The sequence below is a fragment of the Homo sapiens genome, chromosome 10, assembly GCF_000001405.40.
Source record: "Homo sapiens chromosome 10, GRCh38.p14 Primary Assembly".
NCBI classification, from domain to species: domain Eukaryota; kingdom Metazoa; phylum Chordata; class Mammalia; order Primates; family Hominidae; genus Homo; species Homo sapiens.
This window is the reverse complement of record NC_000010.11, coordinates 46,509,161-46,531,751: the sequence shown is the minus strand read 5'-3', so window position 1 is coordinate 46,531,751 and position 22,591 is coordinate 46,509,161. Positions and strand designations below refer to the sequence as shown.

General features: G+C 48.5%; 3 annotated features.

Moving 5' to 3' along the window:
* Positions 3,678 to 4,646: an enhancer, noted in NCBI's record as "H3K4me1 hESC enhancer chr10:47021543-47022511 (GRCh37/hg19 assembly coordinates)". NCBI's record gives its function as "activates a minimal SCP1, AML or CMV promoter by ChIP-STARR-seq in naive H9 embryonic stem cells {active_cell/tissue: H9 hESC(naive)}" and the evidence as "EXISTENCE:reporter gene assay evidence [ECO:0000049][PMID:30033119]".
* Positions 6,768 to 7,364: an enhancer, noted in NCBI's record as "H3K27ac-H3K4me1 hESC enhancer chr10:47057528-47058124 (GRCh37/hg19 assembly coordinates)". NCBI's record gives its function as "activates a minimal SCP1, AML or CMV promoter by ChIP-STARR-seq in primed H9 embryonic stem cells {active_cell/tissue: H9 hESC(primed)}" and the evidence as "EXISTENCE:reporter gene assay evidence [ECO:0000049][PMID:30033119]".
* Positions 16,468 to 16,967: an enhancer, noted in NCBI's record as "H3K27ac hESC enhancer chr10:47047925-47048424 (GRCh37/hg19 assembly coordinates)". NCBI's record gives its function as "activates a minimal SCP1, AML or CMV promoter by ChIP-STARR-seq in primed H9 embryonic stem cells {active_cell/tissue: H9 hESC(primed)}" and the evidence as "EXISTENCE:reporter gene assay evidence [ECO:0000049][PMID:30033119]".

The following is a 22,591-nucleotide window of genomic DNA, read 5'->3' as shown; positions in this document are numbered from 1 at the left end:
TAATAGAATGCTTATCAATAAAAAACAATGAACTAATTATATATATATATATATATATATATATATATATATATATATATATGATGGATAAATCTCAAATGCATTCTGCTACGTGAAAGAAGCCAGACTCAACAGCTGCGTATCTGAATTATTCCATCTGTGTGAATTCTGGAAAAGGGAAAACTATTGGGATAGGAAATAAAGGAGAGCTTGCCAAGGGCTGGAGAGTAAGGGAAAGGCTGACTACAAAGAGGCTCAGATGGATTTGGGGAGTGAAAGTGTCCTATATTTTTACTGTGATGGTAACATGGTTGCGTTTGTCAAAACTCATAGAATTGTACACTAAAAAGAGTAAATTTTATCATACACTTATATCTTAATATACTTTTCAGAAAGCAAAGTATGTAATTATACAGATCAACAGGAAGAACAAATAAAACCATACAATACTCACACCTGCAACATAACTAGAAGACACAGAACACTATAATCTTCCAATTACCCAAGAGAATAAAAATAAGCAACCATTACCAGTGGAGCTCTTTCTGAAGTTTCTGCCCCAAACCTTGTCACCGAGTAAGGCAGAGCCTGGATAAAACTGCATGGGAGGTGCATGGATCACCTGAGGTCAGGAGTTGGAGACTAGCCTCGACAACATGGAGAAACCCCGTCTCTGCTAAAAATACAAAAAATAGTCAGGCGTCGTAGCGCCCGCCTATAATCCCAGCTACTAGGGTGGCTGAGGCAGGAGGATTGCTTGAACCCCAGGGGCTGAGGTTTCAGTGAGCTGAGATGGCGTCACTGCACTCCAGTCTGGGCGACAGAGCGAGACTCTGTTTCAAAAAACAAAACAAAACAAAACAAAAAAACAACAACAAAGAGAAAAACTGCATAGGAGAGAGAACAGGGGAATAGAGTGCTCAAGACTGAGCTAAAACCATCCCCAGAAAGACTGGAAACAGCCTAGTTGTCCTTCAATAGCTGGATAGTTAAAGGTTAGACCAGCATGGTACATCCATGCCCCAAAATGCTGCTCAGTAGTCAAAAGGAAGGAACTGTTGTCTCAGAATGCGGATGGATCTCCAGGTCATTCTGCTGAGTGAAAACAGACAATCTCAGAAAGCTATCTTTGTGTGATTCCATTGATGTAACACTCTTGAAACAAAATTTTAGAAATGGAGAGCACATTAGTGGTTGCCAGGGGTTAAGCAGATGTGGCTGTAAAAGCGCTGCGGGAGGGATCCCGCGGTGACGGAGCACTCTGTATCCTGACTGTATCCATGTCAACACCCTGGTTGTGATGTGGTCATACAGTGTTGCAAGATGTTACACTGGGGAAAACTGGGTACAGGGTACAGTGGGCCTCTCTGTATCATTGCTTACAACTGCTTGTGAATCATGACTCTACAGTTAAAAAGCTCGGTGAAAAAAAAAACCCTCATTTACAATCGCATCAAAAAATGTGAAATACTTGGAGATAAATCTGACAAATATGTGTAGGACTTGTAGACTGAAAACTACAAAACATTGGTGAGAATGAAAGGCTTAAATCACAGTACGCTAACAATAGATGGATTTGATGAATGTAAGTGAAGGGAAATAGTGTTGATCACAGACCTGAAATTTTTCTTTTTCCTTTTTTTGAGACAGTCTTGTTCTGTCACCCAGTGTGTAGTGCAATGGTGTGATCACAGCTCACTGCAACCTCTGCTCCCCGGGTTCAACAAATTTTCCTGCCTCAGCCTCCTGAGTAGCTGGGATTACAGGCGCCCACCACCACGCCCAGATAATTTTTGTATTTTTAGTAGAGACGGGAGTATCACCATGTTGGCCAGGCTGGTCTGGAGCTCCTGACTTCAAATGATTCGCCCACCTCGGTCTCCCAAAGTGCTGGGATTATAGGCATGAGCCACCATGTCCGGCCTGAAATTTTTCAAAATAAAATGCTGGTAAGAGGGAAAAAACAAAAAAAGCATAGGAAGAAGATTTTAGGAATGCATAGTTAGTTCTGCTATAACACAATATATGTGTTCCTAAAAAACCAGTGCTCTATGCAAAAATCACATAATAAAAACCACTGGGCTTATGGGAAAAGTGGGGTTAACCGCACAACACTCCAAAATTTTGTCAGTAGCCCATAAGAAACAAAAAGATAGGAACTTAATAAAAATAGTCATTGAGTTTTGCACGTTTGATGGTTAAGAAAAGCATGTATATTGCAATAAATATGACACTTGATCTTGAAAAAGCCCTGGAGTTTGTGTGTGGACGTGTGTGTTACCAGACATGGAGCTGTAACACCAGATGTGGATGGATGCAGCTCATAACACACGAGGTGGATGCGGAGCTGTGGGCATTTGAGGCATCCATCTGGGTGTATTTTGGCTCGGTTCAGTTGGGTACAACTTTCTGTGCTCACCTAGAGTTTCTTGTAGACCACATTGCACATAAGCAAGTGTGAAATTCACATCATGCTCAAATTGTTCCCTAATACTGTAACTCAATCTCATGGGAACAAATTTCTGTTTTCAAAACAAGTATTAACAGAATGGACTGTGCTTGTTAAAGTCACAGGTGGCAATCATCAACAACTTGTTAGACAGTTTGCTCTTTAAATGCATAGATTTCTAAATCTAAAAATTAGGAAAAAAAAAAAAATGAAACCTCATGCCCAGGTGTGACCATTTCTTGATTGCATCCTCACAGGATTTTGGGTTGAAAGAAAACAAAGTCCCTGATTCTGCCACAGCCCACCCAAGCATGTCCTCAGAGGTGGCATTGAATTGTCCCATTGCACTGTCCCCTGTTGTCTGAGACTGCACTGTGGGCCAAACACCCATGGCAGGCCCCACGGAGGGGACTCTGATACCATGTCATCTCCACTCAGTCATCTAATTAGATGTTGGTCAGGTACCCACTGGAGGCCGGACAGCACATAAAGGTGGGGAGGGGGTTTGTGGGGGGCTTCTGATGGAGACGAGTAGACCAGGTGAGTACTAAATGACTCAATCTAGATGAGAGGAAGAAAGGGTCATAGGTATTCATTCGGAACCCAGAAGGCCTCAGACAAGTGCTGTGCACCTCGCCCTGGACAACCCAGCAGGGTCACCCTGCAGCTGCAGGGCAGGCTCTGAGCTTGGGCGGGCACAGACTCTGAGCCTGGGCAGCCTGAGGGTACAGAGGGTGCCAGAATTAGGCCCCTTTCGTTGCCTTTGGGAGATCAATGCCTGCAAGGGCCCCGATGCAGCCAGGTGGAAGGGGCTCAGCGTGGGGACAGTCTCTCCCATGTGCTGGCTGGCCTGGGGACAGCTTTGCCTCTGCGGATTAGTGTGAGAGGTCAGGACCCCCATGAAGCCATGCCCCCCCCCCACCAGGACATGAGAAGGTACCAGCTCCTGGAGTTTTGTGTCCCAGGCCTGGTCGGGACACTTGGGCTGCCAGGGGGCCTGGTCCTGGGCCACTCTCAGGCCAACTCCAGGCTGAGGACCGGGAGCTGGAGGAAAGGGCTGGTGGTCTCTGAACCACTAGCTTCCCTGTGGTTCCTGCCCTGGTGGCTGAGGTTAGTGCGACTCCCCTCAATCCAGCCCGGTCCAGAACGTTCTGAGTTGGGGATGGGAGCTTCTTCCCACCAGAGAAAGCATTGCAAACCTTTTTGTGGTGAAAACATCCAAATGGACAGAAAACTAGAGAGGGTGGATCCATGACCCTATCGCCCATCACCCAGTGGGCCCAGTTCTTGACTCTGTTTTGCCAAGAAGGGGGATCAAGTCCCCAGCTTTTGAAGATATGCCAGACTGGGTTTGAAAACTTCCGCTTCTCTCAGACAGAGCACTTTCCAACCCTTGGCCCTAGTGGGTCCATCTATGATGCGGAGACAGGAATCCCAAACTCAGAGGGGGCTGCGAAGATCTAATGAAGGAACCTTTGTGAGGGGCTCCCTGGAGAGGCAGACACACTGAGGGTGAGGAATTCAGGTTGGACCTGTCTCCGGCCACAGCCAGTCCAGGGCTTAGCCCATCCTTGCTGTGTGCCGCAGCCCCTTGCTCTCAGCTTTGACTCTCACAAGCCTCAGGTCCTCTGTAGGCACTATAGAGAGGCGATAGTCAGGCCCCACTCCATCCTCCTCCTCCCTGCTGCCCACCGAGGTTCCTTCACCATCTGGACATAGCCCTGAGCCCGGGCTCAGCTCCAGTCCCAAGGCTTGGGCTTGCAGGGCATCAGCTCCAGCGACCTGCCTTCTCCCCCCATCGAGGGCTGTGTGACGTGTGTGTGCATGTGTATGATGTATGTGGTTGTGTGTGTGTGGTATGTGTGATGTGTGTGGTCGGCAGTCAGCTGGGTAGGCCTAGACCTGCCCAGTGACCCCAGGGACAAAGGAGCAGTCCTTTCGGATCCTCCCAGCGCAGGGATCCTCTGATGGACAAGGAGACGCTGCAGTCAGAGGCACTGTGTTTTCAGGACAGACTGAGGCAAAGCATTTTGGCAAATGGCCTTGGAGCCCTGAACACCCTGAGACCTTGTCACCGCCAAGCCCCCGGACCAGGTATACACAGCAATTCTAAATTTGCTAATAGCCTCATTAAAAAGCAAAAGGAAACAGGTGAAATTAATTTTCATAATATATTTTACTTAACCCAATATATCTAAAATGTTACCATTTCAAAGTTTAATTTGTATATGACTGAGATATTTTGCATTTCTCTTCATGCTCCGTCTTCGAGGTCTGGCATGCACCCGGCACTCACAGCACGTCTCAGTGGGACCAGCCCGGCTTCCAAGGCTCAGCAGCCACTGGAGACAGCACAGGTCTAGTGCAGTTGCTCTCAACTCTGCTGTGCATTACAATCACCTGAGAGCTTTGAAAAAGTGCCAGTTTCCGGGCTGCCTGGGAACCCCCTCATAGTTACATGGGAATCTCAGGGAGGGGTGGGGCAGACAGGGGTCACTGATCCTGGGGTGGGAGGTGTCACAGCCCCACGGAAGGGCTTCCCATCAGAGGGAACAGCGTGTGCAAAGGCAGGGGAGTGGGGAAGAGCAATGTTTAGGGGGAACTGTGAGTGGTGGTGTGTGTGTGCAGTTGTGTGTGTGATTGTGATGTGTGTGCACATGTGTGTGTTGTATGTGGTATGTATTATGTGTGTGGTGTATATGGTTGTATGTGTGTGGTGTGGATGTGTTTGGTATGTGTGATGTGTGCAGTTGTGATGCTGTGTGTTCATGTGGTGTGTGTGTGTGTGGTGTGTGTGGGGTGTGGTGTTGTGTGTGGTTTGTGTGATGTGTATGGCATGTGTGGTTGTGTGTATGTGATGTGTGTGTGGGGTGTGTGCACTGTGTGTGGTGTGTGGTTGTGTGTGATTGTGTGATGTATGATGAATGTGATGTGTGTGGTTGTGGTGTGTGTGGTTGTGTGTGTGACGTATGTGGTTGTGAATTTGTGTGTGAGGTATGTGGAGTGTGTGTATTGTGTATGGTTGTGTGCAGTGTGTTATTGTATGCGATTATGTGATGTGTGTGGTTGTATGTGGTGTGTGTGGTATATGTGTGTTGTATGTATGTGATGTGTGTGGTTGTGTGGTGTGTGGTATGTGTGGTTTTATGATGTGTGTGGTTTTGGATTTGTGTGTAGGGTGTGTGTAGTGTGTGTGGTTGTGTGTAGTGTGTGATTGATGTGTGATGAATAAGATGTGTATGGTTCTGTGTGGTTTGTGTGGTATATGTGTGGTGTGCATGTCGTGTGTGGTTGTGTGGTTGTGTGTGTGGTTGTATGATGTGTGTGGTTGTGTGTGGTCTGTGTGGTTGTGTGTATGCGATGTGTGTGGTTGTATGGGTGGTGTGTAGTGTGTGTGGTTGTGTGATATGTGTGGTTGTGTGTTTGTGTGGGGGTGTGTGTATTTTGTGTGGTTGTGTGTATGTGACTGTGATGTATGTGATATGTGTGGTTGTGTATTGTGTGTGGTTGTATGCAGTTGTGTGATGTATGTGATGTGTATGGTTATATGTGGTGTGTGTGGTATGTGATGTATGTGGTGTGTATGTGGTGTGAGGTGTGTGGTTGTGTGATATGTGTGTTTGTATGTGGGGTATGTGTATTGTGTGTGATTGTGTGTATGCGATGTGTGTGGTTGTGTGTGTGGCATGTGTGGTTGTGTGTGCGATGTGTGTGTTTGTGTGTGGGGTGTGTGTATCATGTGCAATTATGTGTATGTGATGTGTGTGGTTGTGTGTGATATGTGTGGCTGTGTGTGTGATGTGTGTGTGTGGGGTGTATGTATTGTGTGTGGTTGTGTGTGTGATGTGTGTTTGTGTGTGGGGTATGTGTAGTATAGAGGGTGTGAGTTATGTGTGTGGTATGTGAACCCGGCTCGCCACTTCCTGACCTCAGCAATCTTAGAGCTGTAAGTGCCCTGACATGGAGTTGCAGTGGCTTCTGACTCCCAAAGGTGCCCATTCTTCTGTGGCCACTGCCTTTTTAAAAAAGCAATTTTATTGGCTTCAGTCATCAAAATCTGATACAGAAGAGAGAAAAGAGAAATTCTTCTGGTTGAAATGTGTGTATGTGTGTGTGCATGGTGCGGGGTGTGCATGGGCGTGCTCATGTGTGTGTGTGAATGCACACACGCGCTCATGCCTGTGTCTGTGTTTGGATGTGGGGCCTCCTCAGACGGCTTGCACTCCGAATAGCTTGCTTGGAAACCACAGCGCTCACTGGCTGCTGGTGAGACCCGGCCCAAAGAGGGCCACCTTTGAGCAGGGTTAGTGCTCTTTGGCCACGGCCCTTTCACACCCTCAGGCTGCCTCTGGTCCGCAGGCTCAATCTGGAAGACACTACTCCTCCCACTCACCCCCATTCTTTCTGTGTGGTCTTAGCAAGTCACTGCCCTCAGGACTCTGGCCCCATGTTGAGTAAAATGGGTGGCCAGATATGGGCCTCTGACGCATGGCCCTTGCTGCCATTCCTCCAGGGCTTTCCATGCCAGTCCCAGGGTGTTCTGGACATGACCCTTACCCCTGAACCAGCTCTGATCCCATTGCAGCCCGAGGTGGGTTCCTGGGCTCCTTGGGGCAGGATGCCAGGCCATTCCAAGCCCCAGCACTGAAACTCCTCCTCCCCCTGAAAATGACTTTGCAAAAATTATAACAGTGAGAAAATGATGGCAGTGAAAGAGATCCGACCTAACGGACTCCATCTTGCTTCTAACCTCCAAGCGATCCTTGTTCATTCCTGGGGGTAGGTAGAACTAATTTTGGGAGAAATTTAGTTTATAGTTTTACTTTGCAACAAAAATGATAAGAGCCCTTTCCTGAAACAACCCCGCTTCTTGGCTTCTTGCCTGGGGACCAGTCTGCCTTTGAAGGACTAACAAATTAGTCACAATATTAGAAATTACGGTTTAGGAGTCACGCAGCCAGGGGCTGCAAGATTTGGAACCTCCCCAAACTGCTCCTGGGGCTAACGTCACTGTTGTAAAAACTCAGATTAATGCTAGAGCTATTTTGCAGACCCTGTGTTCCAATGCACCAGCAGGCACCCAGACCGGTACTCTGGCTCAACCAGTTCTGCGATGCCACCCAGGAACCGAATGAAGACAGCAAAATAATCCCACTTTGACACTCTATGATTTTATTTCTGACTCCACCAATCAGCACTCCCCACTTTCCGACTCCCTACCCACCAAATTATCCTTAAAAACCTGAGTCTCAGAATTTTCAGGGAGACTTAAAAATTTGAGTAATCATAAAACTCTGGTCTCTCATACAGCTGGCTCTGCATGAATTAGTCTTTCTCTATTACAATTCTCCTGTCATGATAAATCGGCTATCTGGGCAGCAGGTGAGGAGAACCCCTTGGGCGGTTACACCCCCACAGAAACCCTCTCTCTGCTTCCTGCTCCTCTTGCCGTTCCCCGCCCAGGCTGGCTCTGCCATGCCAGGGCCTGGCAGAGGAGCAGCAGAGGTGTGGCTGCCAGCCCCGCCTGGAAGCTCTGAGTTCCCTTCCTGCACCCACGTCCAGGACTCCAGCCTGGGCTCTGTAAAGGTCTTCTTAGGGGGGAAACACAAGCCTAGCCAGGGGGTGCCCTGAGGGACTGTGGGTGTGGGCAGGGCCCTTCCCTTCCCAGGGCCTCCTAGAGCCTGAATCTGTGCATACAGCAGGCCAGTCCCACCACCGTGGAATTTCCTGGCTCCAATCTCCCTTTGGTCTGGGCTGTTCCTACCAAGGCTGCCTGGCTGGGGTGGCAGCTTAGTGGGTGGCCTCACAGGACTCACAGCAGCCCCACAGGGGTTCTGTGAGCCTGGGAAGGAAGGAAGGACCCTCCAGCTCATATGGGCCTAAAAGCCACTGGCAGGCATGCTTCAGCCTGGGGGCAGCCTGCAGATGCCCGAGACCCCAGGCCATCACTCAGCCCAGTCTATCCATAATTACCCTGTTCACAGGGGTGGGGGTGGGGCGCCTCAAAGCGGGAAGCCCTCCCTGCCTCCCACCCAGGGTCAAGCCAGTGATATGCTGATAACCTTCAGTGACCCACCCCCTGCCACAATCACTCAGGGAAAGCCAGAAAACCCAGAGCTTGGGCTTGCTAGGTTGAACCTCTGCCGTTTCCTCTCCTTGAGTCTAATGGGCACGTGGGCTGGTGGAGACATGTAGGGTCTGAGAAATTACTGGGTCAAGGGTATGGTGGTGAGAAGGGAGGTGTGAGAGAGAGAAAACTCGGGAGGTGCAATCTGTGGAAGAGAGTACATATGACCCCTTGCTGGGGTGTGTGGGAAGACCGGGGCAGGTACCTGTCACCATAATCTGTCCACTCAGTGGATGAGCCCTCCCTAATGGGGATGCCAGCTGGATTTTGACATTTCAGGCACTTCAAATGCTTTTAAGACATTTGCTAACAAAGAGGTGAATAAGAGAGCTTCATGGCATGGAGGAGCAAGTGAGGTCTAGGCAGACCTCACTGCCCTTTGCCAGCTGTGTAACCTTGGGCAAGTGCTTACCCCACTCAGGCTTGGTTTCTTCATCTATAAAATGGGCTTCTTGGCTCTGTCTCAGAGGTCGTGATGGGGTCAGAGGTGATGAATGCAAAGTCAGTGAGTAGGGCCTCTTCCTCACCAACCAAATGGGGACTGAATTCGAGGTCTTGCCATGTGTTTCATTAGCATTTGAGCCCACAGTGCCAATAAAACGGACAGAATGGGAGGTTCTGTGCTAGGCAACATGTGCCTTCTGGCAACTGCACCACTGTCTAGGTGGAGCAGTGTTTGGTGAAGAAGGGAAGAGAGATTTCTGGTGGCCCATCGGCAAGGAGAGGCAAGGAGAGAGAGTGCTATAGTTTGAATGTCTGTCCCCTCAAACCTCATGTTGAAATGTGAACCCCTAGGCCAGGCGCAATAGCTTATGTCTGTAATCCCAGGACTTTGGGAGGCTGAGGTGGGCGGATCACGAGGTCAGAAGATCGAGGCCATCCTGGCCAACATGGTGAAACCCCGTCTCTACTGAAAATACAAAAATTAGCCAGCCGTGGTAGCACATGCCTGTAGTCCCAGCTACTCGGGAGGCTGAGGCAGAAGAATCGCTTGAACCCGGGAGGCGGAGGTTACAGTGAGCCAAGATCACGCCACTGCACTCCAGCCTGGCGACAGAGCAAGACTCCATCTCAGGAGGCAGGAAGAACAACTGAACCCTACTGTTGGAGGTGGGGCCTAATTGAGAGGTGCTTGGGTCATGGGGCCAAGTTCCTCATGAATGGCTTGGTGCTGTCCTAGAGGTAGTGAGTGAGTTCTCACTCTATTAGCTCCTGTGAGAGCTGGTGTTAAAGAGCTAGGCACCACTCTCTTTCCCTCTTGTTTCCTCTCTCACCATGCAATCTCTACACACACCGGCTCCCCCTCACCTTCTGCCATGAGTGGAAGCAGCCTGAGGCCCTCACCAGAGGCCCAGTCTTGAACCTTCCACCCAGCAGAACTGTGAGCCAAAGAAACCTCCTTTGTTTATAAAGTATTCAGCCTCAGGTATTCCTTTATAGCAACAAAAAATGGACTAAGACAGACAGAAATGGCAATTTTGCTCCTAGGCACAGTCTAAGGGAGGGACTCTTCACCTGCCACTCCTTTCTTGCAGAAATAACAGTGCAAGACTGTACAAGGACCCAGGCCCTGCTTCAAGTGCTTCCTACGTGTTGACTTGTCATCTTGCGAACACCAACATGAAGCCATCCCCATTTGTCAGAAGTAGGACAGTTGACAGAAATAAGTAATTTTCCTGAGGTCATAGAGCTAAGAGCTGCAGTGCTTCAGGGGTTGAGGGTATTTAAAATGGTAAAATGTTTTTCACTGAGTCAATTAAAAAAAATAGCATTTATAGGCGGTAAAGTGGCTGTTCTTACAGTATCTCATTTAATTGCCACAATAATCCTGGAAGGTACATCTTCTTATCGGCATTTTCTAGATGAGAAATCAGAGCCTCACAGAGGTTAAACAGGTGCCTATGGAGGCAGAATGAGCCAGAGACAGAACTGGGATTTAAGCCAGCTCAGCCTGACTCCCGGTAGTGGTTTTTGCCACCCACAACAGGGATGCATGCTAGAGCCAAACCCCTAGTGCCTTTGAAAGGGCCTGGCTGGGGTCCAGCCCCCCGCCCATCCTCCACACAGCTGATGCTTTACATTCTGGCAGATGGCAGGGCAGTTTGCCCCAGCATCAGTTGCTGAACGCCACTTTGGGGGGGACAGACACGGACAGATAGTCACCCAGCCTGAGCAGATCAGGCTTCCTGAGGCAGGGCTTGGGGCTTTTGCTGAGGGCACAGATGCTTTTGAGAGTCTGGTAAAATTGTGAGTCCTTTTCCCAGAAAAACACACATGGGACAAATACCCCCTTTTGCATCCAATTCAGGGTGTGCAAAAGCCCTCAGATTAAAGAACTCCAGGCCTAAAGAATGATCTAGATGAGAAGGCTGCCTTGAGTGCTTTTATGGGACAGAGCAGGGAGTAGCCGAGAGAGTGGAGACCAGCCAGGGGAAATGTGGGGCGGGCAGCCCATCACAGGGGCTAGCATCAGCCAGAGCCTAGCAGTAAGGACTCCAGGAACACAGTGGAACCAAGATGGGCTGGCCAGACGGGCAGGACCATGTGGCCCACTGAGCACAGCTGTGAGCACACAGTTCTGTAAGAAACGGGCACCCATCAGGATCTTAGATGAGCATATCAGCAGCCCTTTGCTGCGTTGAGCCCCCACTGGGTCCCAAGATCCTTGCTTTGGACAATGTAGTCCCTGCTTCCATCATTAGGTATGGTTGAAAACAGCTTGTCCAGCAGAGCAGATGCTGCCTGCCCAAGGGTTTGTCTTTGCCTTCTCTGCTCAAATCCTCTTTTTGTGATGGATTAAATGGAGCCTGTTCCTAGTTACTGGCTTCCCAACCTACTCTTTTTTTTTCTTTTTTTTGGGACAGAGTCTCACACTGTCGCCCAGGCTGCAGTGCAATGGCATGATCTTGATTCACTGCAACCTCCACCTCCCGGGTTCAAGTGATTCTTGTGCCTCAGCCTTTGAGTAGCTGGGATTACTGGTGTGGACCAACACATCCAGCTAATTTGTGTACTTTTAGTAGAGATGGGGTTTCACCATGTTGGCCAGACTGGTCTTGAACTCCTGACCTCAGGTGATCTGCCTGCCTCGACATCCCAAAATATTGTGATTACAGGCATGAGTCAAAGGCCCCAGTCTACATTTGTAGGCAGGCTGGCATTGTGCGCATGGCTGACCCGTTCAAACTTTGACTACAATCTACAGTTAGAAATACAAATTACCTGTCAGGCATGGCGGCTCACGCCTGTAATCCCAGCACTTTGGGAGGCTGAGGCGGGTGGATCACCTGAGGTCAGGAGTTTGAGACTCGTCTCACCAACATGGTGAAACCCCATCTCCACTAAAAATACAAAAATTAGCTGGGTGTGGTGGTGGGTGCCTCTAATCCCAGCTACTCGGGTGACTGAGGCAGGACAATCACTTGAACCTGGGAGGCAGAAGTTGCAGTGAGCTGAGATTGTGCCATTGCACTCCAGCCTGGGCAACAGAGACTCTGTCTCAAAAAATAGCAAAACAACAACAAAAAACAAATTATGACTCAAACAAATTTACAAGAAAAAACAAACAACCCCATCAAAAAGTGGGCGAAGGATATGAACAGACACTTCTCAAAAGAAGACATTTATGCAGCCAAAAAACACATGAAAAAATGCTCATCATCACTGGCCATCAGAGAAATGCAAATCAAAACCACAATGAGATACCATCTCACACCAGTTAGAATGGCGATCATTAAAAAGTCAGGAGACAACAGGTGCTGGAGAGGTTGTGGAGAAATAGGAACACTTTTACACTGTTGGTGGGACTGTAAACTAGTTCAACCCTTGTGGAAGTCAGTGTGGCGATTCCTCAGGAATCTAGAACTGGAAATACCATTTGACCCAGCCATCCCATTACTGGCTATATACCCAAAGGATTATAAATCATGCTGCTATAAAGACACATGCACATGTATGCTTATTGCGGCACTATTCACAATAGCAAAGACTTGGAACCAACCCAAATGTACAACAATGATAGACTGGATTAAGAAAATGTGGCACATATACACCATGGGATACTATGCAGCCATAAAAAATGATGAGTTCATGTCCTTTGTAGGGACATGGATGAAGCTGGAAACCATCATTCTCAGCAAACTATTGCAAGGACAAAAAACCAAACACCGCATGTTCTCACTCATAGGTGGGAATTGAACAGTGCGAACAGTTGGACACAGGAAGGGGAACATCACACACTGGGGACTGCTGTGGGGTGGGGGGAGGGATAGCATTAGGAGATATACCTAATGCTAAATGACGAGTTAATGGGTGCAGCACACCAACATGGCACATGTATACATATGTAACAAACCTGCACGTTGTGCACATGTATCCTAAAACTTAAAGTATAATAATAATAAAATTAAAAAACAACAACAAAAAAAAAACAAATTACGGTGTGACACAGTATGCACGCATATACAAACTCTAACTTTTTTTTTTTTTGTATTTCATTTCATTAAAAACTTACTGGTCTCAGTCGTGATGGATTTCACACCCACTGGTGAGTTGCAACCCACAGTGAGCTGGGATGCCAGAAGAAGGCCTAGGCTGTGCTCCTGCCCTCTCTTTGTTGGATCTAGGGCTGAGCCACAGCAGGCCCAGCAGAGAGAGTCACCTGGGCACTAGGAAACACTGCCACTCTGTTCTAAGGCAGAGCTCAGAACAGTCAGCTCGCAGCTGCACCCTATCCTCAGGGTAAGAGCCATACCCAGCTCTTTATTGAGTTTATATTTTACCATGAGTTCCTTAGTGGTGTTGGAAATAATTTGAGGCAGCTTATAATAGTAAGTATTTTTCTCCCAGTGGAGATGAGAATCCTATAGAGATAGGGCAGCGGTGTCTGGCAGAGTGCTTCATCCGCTATAAAGGCTGTCCCTGGATTACTGCTGCTGTCCTTCCCCAGACACCTGGGAGGAAGGAGAGCCATTGAGGGGACCCAGGAGAGACAGGGACCTGGCTGTGATGAAGCCGCTGGGCAGGAATGGAGGCTCTGCACATGGACATAATTTCACATTCAGATGATGAAAATCTTAATTAATCCTGTGAGCTGATGGATCCATTCATCCATTCATTCAGTAAACACCTTTTGACATAATGTAAGGCTCATGTCTTGCAAACAGTAGCATCAGCTTAAGATGCAAGGAACATCTTGTCACCTTCAGCTGTGGCCACTGTTTGTTAATTGGCAGCTAAAATCTTTCTGATGCTAGCAGGCATCCAAAAGCATTTTTATAAACACAGAGAGGAGTCTTCTCCCACCTTCCTCTTCTTGGTCTTTCCTGTCTCTAACTCTCAACTCCTCCCCACCTGGGAGCAGTATAATAGCCAAGGGACTGAATTTCAGCCAAGGACTGAAATTGCAATGTGAGGGGAGGCCTGTCTGGGCAGGGACGTGGGCGTGCGGCCCACACATCAGGGCTCCTGGTCCTCAGGTATCCTCCAGAAACCTGGACCCATGCTCCTGAGAAGGCGATGCTGAATAGAAATAACAATGAGGCCTTTCCCTGTCAATTTGATGAGTGCTCAAGAAGCGATAGCTAGCACTATTTCCATTTTAGATAAATGGACATCAAGTCCCCAAAGGCTAAGTAAGTTGCCCAAGGTGATAAAGTCAGTTAGCAGAGCTAGGTTCAAAGCCAGGTCCTCAGGCCACAGTAAAGTTTGGCTCCACATCTGCTGCTTCTGTGAGGCCAAAGCTCTGCTACTCCCAGGGTGTGGCCAGGCTTGGCTTTAGGTTTTCTGAAGCCAGGAAGGCAAAAGCTGTGATGTTCAGGTGGGATGTCCAGGTGGGATGTCCAGGTGGAATGTCCAGGTGGGATGTCCAGGTAGGATTCCCAGGTGGGGTGTCCAGGTAGGGTGTCCAAGTGGGAGGTCCAGGTGAATCAGGTATGATGGTCATGGTCCCAGGTCATGGCTGAGGCAACCTCTTAGCAGCTGGGAACTGACAGGGTCATTGAGGCTGCAGAGAGGGAATCCGTGTTAATGGATTATCCACGGTGCCCTGGCTATAGATGTGACACTCCCGGGGCGAGGGGAGGCTCTTCACCTATCTAAAGCTCAGATGGAAGCAATTGGCACTAGGTTTACAGCAAATCAAAATCACCATCCTGCAGCCAGTTTTCGCAAAGGAGTCACTGGTAGAATGTTTGGCAAAGAGAGTTGTCATCATTCACTCTCACGTTCCTTCCTTTGTTTAACAAGCATTTCCGAGGTATGCCTTATTTCAGGCACTGGAACATAGCCCTGAATCAAAGATGGCTCCTCTCCCTGAGGAACTCACAGGCAGCTGAGGGGAAGGATGATTCGCAAGCAAACAATTACCATACATGCCACAGCTGTTAACCCTGACTCAGAACTTTATAGACGCCAGTAGTTCTCAGCAATACTGAGCGCTTCGCAGCAGCTATTGTATGCATTTATTAAAATGACCTTGGGACAGCTTTTGCAGATGAAAAGCTGAGATTCAGAGAAGTGAAATAACTTGACTGTGATCACACAGCTCACTAGAGGCAGAATCAGGATTTGAACTTGGATCTCTGGCTGCAGAGGCCACACTTGTGGCAGCTGTCCCCCCGAAATGAGCGTCTGATAACAGAAGCTGTATATTGAAGAGTTCTTCAGGCAGATCCAGGTGGGAGGCAGCTGGGTCAGAGGACCCATGTGCAAAGCACAAAGATGGGGACGTGTGGCCCCAGTGACCACTGGCTGGGCTTGGGGCTGGGGGTGAATGGACATGAAGGGAGAAGGGGTGAGAGGATGACCAGGGCCTCCCTAACTGTCTTCAGTTTTAGCTCAGTACTGTCTTTTTTCTTTTTATTTTCTTTTCTTTTTTTTTTTTTTTTTTTTTTTGAGACAAGGTCTCACTTTGTTGCCTAGGCTGGAGTGCAGTGGTGTGATCTTGGCTCACTGCAACCTCCGCCTCCCAGGTTCAAGCAATTCTCCCACCTCAGCCTCCTGAGTAGCTGGGACTATGGGTGCACACCACCACACCTGGCTAATTTTTTTTTTGTATTTTTAGTAGAGATGGGGTTTTACCATGTTGGCCAGGCTGGTCTCAAATTCCTGACCTTTAAGTGATCTGCCCAACTCGGCCTCCCAAAGTGACGGGATTACAAGCATGAGCCACTGCACCTGGCCAGTTTTAGCTCAGTACTGAGGGCTAGAGCTGAACCTGAGCCTTGGGTTGCTGCGAGAGCACCACATCACCCATTTGGAACCCCTCCCTTGCTGCCCTCTGCATCCTGCTTGGGGAGAGGGAGGATTGGTGCATCACTTGGGAAGCCCATACACCTGTCTAATAGCTGTGTCCTTAGGCAAGTAACTTGCTCTCTCCAGTTCCAAGTTCTAATTTGTAATGATTTGATGGCTGAGAAAGGTAATATGCATAAAGTGCTGTGTTCATTAGACCTCTTTGACTTCAAGGAGTGGAAACCCTGATGAATTTAGGAGTGAATCTGGACCAAGGTTGGAACAAAAGCACCTACAGAGGAGTATAAAACTGGAACCTGGGGCTGGCCTGACTCCAGACACTGTCTCTAGTCTCTTTCTCTCCAACAGCTCATCCATGTGGCTACCAGTTTTCTTCCTAAATATTTCCTTGTTAGTACCCTGCTAAAAAGCCTATGAAGGCTTGCCAATAACACAAAATAAATCTCAAAATGTTGAATCTTGCCTGCCTCTCTGCTGTTAGTCTCCTTACCCCACACTCCTCTCTAACACATCATTTTCTTGTAGTCTAATTTCTGGTATTTTTACCTTCTGAAATGCACCATTCCAAACCTGGAGAACCCCAACTTATGGTTTGGAACCATCCCAAATGGATACTAGGCCATATATATTACAGAAGAAGTGTTTATACCAATAGCAACTGACCGGTGACACATACATGTCGTTTACTGGTCAGTGACCTGGGCAAGTAACCCTGATATCACTGCTCACTTTGGACATAGGGCCTGCCCTAGGTGCAATGCCAGTTGAGGGAGGAAGGCTGCACAGGCACACAGAAGGGCTGCCTTCTCTGTGCAATTGTATGATTTGGCCTCATGGTGTTGCCAGTCTGTCTCTGGGGCAGCTGCTTGCAAACTGTAGGTTTTTTCATGTCTTTGTGCTGTTGGAATGATGATATAGCTAAGGGGCCTGTATGACCCCCACATAACTCAGGGCCATCAAACAGTCACATTGCTTCCTCATGCAGGGACTGAGAGGCGCTCCTGGTTTTCACACCTTCTCTCTTGCTGTGTTTCTCGTAGGTCCATTTCACAGGCCACAGCTGCTTTGGCTATGGCTTTATAACGGCGGCCTTTAAAGCAATCTGCTTTCCCTTCTCAACCTCCCTGAGGATCCCTGGGCAGTGAGTGGTTCTGTCAGCTGGGGTTCCACAGCATAGTGAGACCACACCTCTGGGCTCTGACATGGGCAAAGGACCTGAGAGCCCAAAGCATCTCACTTGCGTCAGGGGCTATGGGAACTGGGAGCGAGGGCAGATCCAGCCACCTGTGACAGGTGGCTGCAAAATACTGGAACTGCTACCAGGGCTAAGGCTAGCAAGACCTGCATGCCTAAGAGGGCAAAAGGGGGCAAAGGGAGGCTCAAAGGTAGTTCCTGGGCCAGGCCCTGGGCCAATGACTGGACTGGCTAACTCCTCCGTTTTGGCATTTCAGAACCTCGGAGCTGTCAGAGCAAGCCTCATTTGGGACTGGGTACTCTAGAAGGCCAGATGGGAGCAATGACAAAATCCTGGGAGGGTGCGGGTGGGTCTGGGAGGTTAATGCAGTGGGAAGAACAAAACACAGAATTCCTATTGCAAGCGAACATTTTGAAGCATGTGAAAAAACTAATTCTAAGAAAGGTTACAAAACTAATAATAGGAGATGAATTCACTGCCAAATAAATGGAAATATGAGAAAAATCTCAAAACCAAAAAGCCTTAAGCATCTTAAGACCCACAAAGAAGAAGAAATAGCATTCATAAAAAGTAATTATAAAATAAACCCAGGAAGGTATAAATTAAGAACAGATTGGCTCTGAAAAAAAACTGAGTAGAAATCTAGGTATAAAAACTATGATAATTAAATCAATAGATGAGCTAGTCAAAGATACAATTTGCGAATGGAAAACTAAAAGCAGCTCACAGATAGAAGGAGATGAAACTATGGAAGAGAACTTAAAAAATGGCTGAGTTTTAACAACCAATGTTCTGAAGGAGAAAATGTGGAGAGAATGGTAGAGAAGATACAGTAGAAGGAGTGGTAGAATGACATGACCGAGAATTTTCTACAGGTTAAGAAAAGGTGTGACTTCAGAGTAAAAGCATGCATAGAAAGGTCAGCAGGACAAACAAAAGGAAATTTCGAGAGAGACCCCAGAGCAGGTTAGCACTGCCCCTCCCTCCCCACTTTCTGCAACATCATCCCTTCCTTCTCTTTTGTAGCACTTGGGACACTTGTCGTGATTGTTCAAGGGCTGGCCTGGTTCCATATGTGTCTGCATGTCACATGCAGCAAGTGGTCTGGTACCTGGCCTTTGGGACATGCTCAATAAACACGTCAGTAGACAGTTGAGTAACTGATGGATAAGTAGGTCAGTGCCGGGAGAAACCAGGTGCACATGTTCCAGCGTGCGGCCAGGGGGCAGGGGCATCTAAATCACTGCCATGGAGTCTGGGAAACAGCCATGGACAAAATCCACGGCCCCCTCTGGTTGGGCTGGACAGGCCCGGCTGTCCACATGGAGGGCTGCTCCAGGTGCTGAGCCTGAGAGGTGCCCTCTAGATGAAGCTCATTCGGGCAGGTTTGGCCTTAGCAAGGGAAGGAAGTAGGAGGACCAGCTCCTCCATGAGATCTTTCTGGCTTCCCGGCCTGGAGAGCAGCTGGCCCAATAGATGCACAAACGCACTGTCTACAGATATGTAATTTGAGATGGGTTATTAATAGAATAATCTTAATAAGAGCACGATCAACCAGTATTGATACAGCAGTTTATGGGTTCCAAAGTGCTTTCACATTTGTAATATCATCGAATCTTAACATCCCGAGAGGATGTCAGTTTTGTACGCATTTTATAGGCTGGGAAACGAAGTCTGGAGAATTGAAAGCCTGGGGACCCTGTGCTCCTATGGGGACAGATTCTGGGCACTGAGCTCACCCTCTGGCCATGATCCTGTGTGCCCTTGCCAGCTCCCTGCCTGTCCCCTCCTTGTCTGGGCAGAGGTTGGGCTGCCAGTGGCCTTTGCTCTCCAGAAACAAAGGGTTTACTGAGTACTTGAATAATATATACAGCAGAGCAGGGCGTATTTGATGGCTTCCCAGGAATAAGCTGTCTTTGACATTTTCAGACACAGAGCAGGACTTCCCTATTGCCTCCACAGAGTGGGTCGTATGTAGGGGGTGTGTCGGAGCCAGAGCAGATCAATTTGGGGTGGGGTCCCTTCTCAGAGAGGTAAGGAAGAGACGGTACAAGCCTTGCTTCCTGCTCTACATCCAGGTACAGCATTCAAGGCTATATTGCTAGCATTTCATACACACCCTTGAATTTTGTTCCTTTCCTTCACACATGAATTCAGTGTAGTGGCTTAAGACCTAGGGACATACAACAGAGGGGAAGGACTTCTTTGGGCACCCCTGAAAACCCATGCTGTCATTCCAATTGTGTTGCTCTTGAGTGTAAGCCCTTCCACTTTAGTGTTTTTCACTATTTTAATAAAACCAGGGGAAAATAAACCATTGGAGCAATGAACAAATGCTGCTGTACAGACATGGAAGTCTTTCTGCCTGGATCTGCTGGCCCATGCAGAGCTCAACACCTCCCCGTAGCTGTGAGCAAAAGTCTGAATCAGGCATATGCAAGACTGCATGTGAGATATATTCAGGGCAGGTCATTCGAAAGCAGAACACGACACGTGGAACTCAGTGACAGCTTGTGTTTCCAAAACATTCATTTATAACAATGGACCTACTTGTGAATTACTCATTCAGCAAACATTTATCATATGCCTTCTGTATGCCAGGCACTGAGACACATCTGGCTGCTTGGGAATGACTGAGACCCCACCCACAAGAAGCTCACAGCCAGGTCAGAGAACTCATGCAGGGTAGAAAGTTCTGTGATGCGACTGAAGCTTAGCACTATCTATAAGGCATGGTTGCTGAGTGAGGTGCTGTATCTCAACGCATTTCTGTATACGTATCCTGAAATTTAGCCTGGACTTTCCCAGTTTCATCTGTATTATATCAGTGTAGCTTTGCTTGCAGAGAAAGTGCTACTTAATATCAGAAATGGGAAGAATCAGCAGAAAAAAAAGTGGACATGCAGTTAGTCACCTTCTGGGCAGCTGGGAAGGGGAGAGAGGCAGGGGAGGTGGGTGGGAGAAGAGACAGGCAAGACTCCGGGACCAGAGGCTAAACCACTTTCCACTGCGGGGCTAGAACATGGCATACGTGATTTCATTTTCTGGGGTTTATTTGAAAGATTACTCTTGGTCTGAGTATGCCTGACAGTTGCAGAATAGAATGAATCCCTTTCGTTTGCTTGTTTGAAAATCATGATGTCTCTTTCGGCAGATCTGTGTTACCTGGCCTTCAGTTGCGATGCTTGGTTTCCCCCTGTGTCTACCTGAGGAAATCCTGCTCAGCCAATATGCCCTCCTCTGGGAAGCCGCCTCTCACCTCCGAAGGCCGAGTGGTGTCAGTGGTCCCCTGGTTCGTGCCTCTCCTGGGGCATTTAGCACGTCCTAGAGCTGACTGTTCATTCCTGGGGCTCCGCTTTGAGGTGATGAGTCTGTGGGGGGCCTCCTCACAGTCTCCTCTGGCTGTTTGCGTGTTGCCTCCCCAGCCCTCGTTTCTTTGCAGGTTACCTTCCTTGCCTTGTTTTTCCCATTGCTGTGGACTCTGGTTTTTGATAGCTTATGAGGCATTGGGGGCTTCCTCCCAAATTTACCTTTGTGTCTGGCTTCCCCACGTGATGGGGAGCCCCTGAGGGCAGGGCCATGGCAGTGTCATCTCCCCATTCCCAGGGCCCAGCACAGAGGGAGTGAAATCTGAGCTGCGATAAGCTGACTCAGGATGGCAGTGCCTTCTGCCCTAGGATGGGGGACCCACTTCTTCTTGAGAGCAGAGACCTTCCTTCCTCATAATCCAGCCCATCCCCAGCACCCAGTTCAGTGCCCAGGACAAGACTGCAGGGGACCTTGGCTGAAGGAAAAGGCATTGAAGGAATGGAGGCATTAGGGCCCTTGCTTTGAGACAAGGGTGGTTATTTTGTGCCTGACCTGGTTTCCTGTGGACAGGTCAGAGCACTTCAGGGACAGCAGGCTCCGTGCAAAGGGGCAAATGTGGACAGCAAAGCCTGCCAGGACAGCGGCTCCTCTGAGCACCCGGTGCATTCCTGCTAAGTGCTTCTTGAAGCCTCATGCCCAGGCATTCCCCGCGTGGGATGCAGATGCACCCCTGGCCCTGCAGTGTGGGAGTGCAGGGACAGTAGATCACTGCTGGACAGTTTCCTCACACCACCCGTTGCCCACGATCCAGAGGGCTCAGGCTGAGGCCGCCTCTCCACCACCTCACAGAAACCAGTGGCCATGGATTATCCGGACGTGGTGGCTATTTGGCCGTGACAGGCAATCACCTTACTGTGCAAACTGGGCCATGCCATCTGGCCTCTCTGAGCCTATTTCTTATACATAAAAAGGGATTGATGGCTGGGCATGGTGGCTCATGCCTGTAATCCCAGCACTTTGGGAGGCCAAGGTGGGCAGATCACGAGGTCAAGAGATTGAGACCATCCTGGCCAACATGGTGAAACCCTGTCTCTACTAAAAATACACAAAAATTAGCTGGGTGTGGTGGCATGCACCTGTAGTCCCAGCTACTTGGGAGGCTGAGGCAGGAGAATTGCTTGACCCAGGAGGCAGAGGTTGCAGTGAGCCGAGATCACACCACTGCACTCCAGCCTGGGCAACAGAGCAAGACTCCATCTCAAAAAAAAAAAAAAAAGGATTGATAGTAAATTTTATCCTTGCCTGGCCTCCAACAGGCTGCCAGGCCACCTCCCTTGGTCTGCAGCTCACAGAAGGCTGTCCTTACATGGTGACCAGTCCACACTACCAAGGCCTGGCCAGAGAACGAGCACGTGGAGGCCTTGGTGGAAAGTGGATAATGCCGTGAAGTTTTCACATGGGTAATTTTGGATTTGATTTGTGGGGACAGGGGGAATCTAATTTTCTGTTAAATGTTTGTACATTTCTTTCTTTATATTTAAAATAACACAATTCAATGGGATTTGACTTATTGTCTGTTTTTGAATTGTCTTATAGCTCTCAGATTTTTCACATTCTAAGACTGGCCTGCATCTGCCGCTCACCTCCACGAACCACTTGAGGAACTGGCGTAGCTGTGAAGTCCAGCTCAGAGTGTATTTGAGAACTCCTCTTTTTTTCTGGCTTACACATCAGTAACGCAGATCCCATTTTTAGATGTCCTCACTTCTGTGTGTGTATGGTTTTTAAATTAAGGAAACATATAAGAGTGTTTAAATTTGAGATAATTAAGTAAGTATCTCATTCCCTGCAAACAGCAGGCATCACTGGGTTCAGAATCAGCCAACTGTAGCTGCTGACTTCAGGGCCTGTCAGCTGGCTGGCCTGAGTTGGGGACAAGATCCATAGTTACTTGGAGTAACTTGCAAACATGCATCACAAGACTTAACATACAATGGTCATGCTGATAAGGAGTATTGTTTTCCTTTCTACCCCGGGGAGGGCACTGTCTTTAACGGGGAAGGCCTGTAGCTCCGTTTGGACGTACATGACTGTATTCTGCATTAACCTGTTCCAGTGAGGCTCTGGTGGCCCCTACAGCCTGGTTCTTGGGCAGAGACCTGGTTTGTAGTGTCCTGTGTGATCCTGGGCCTGCCCATGGGGAGCTGGACTGGCTTATGTCTGAAAGAGGCACTGGTGGTGCATTAGTGTTTCTGTC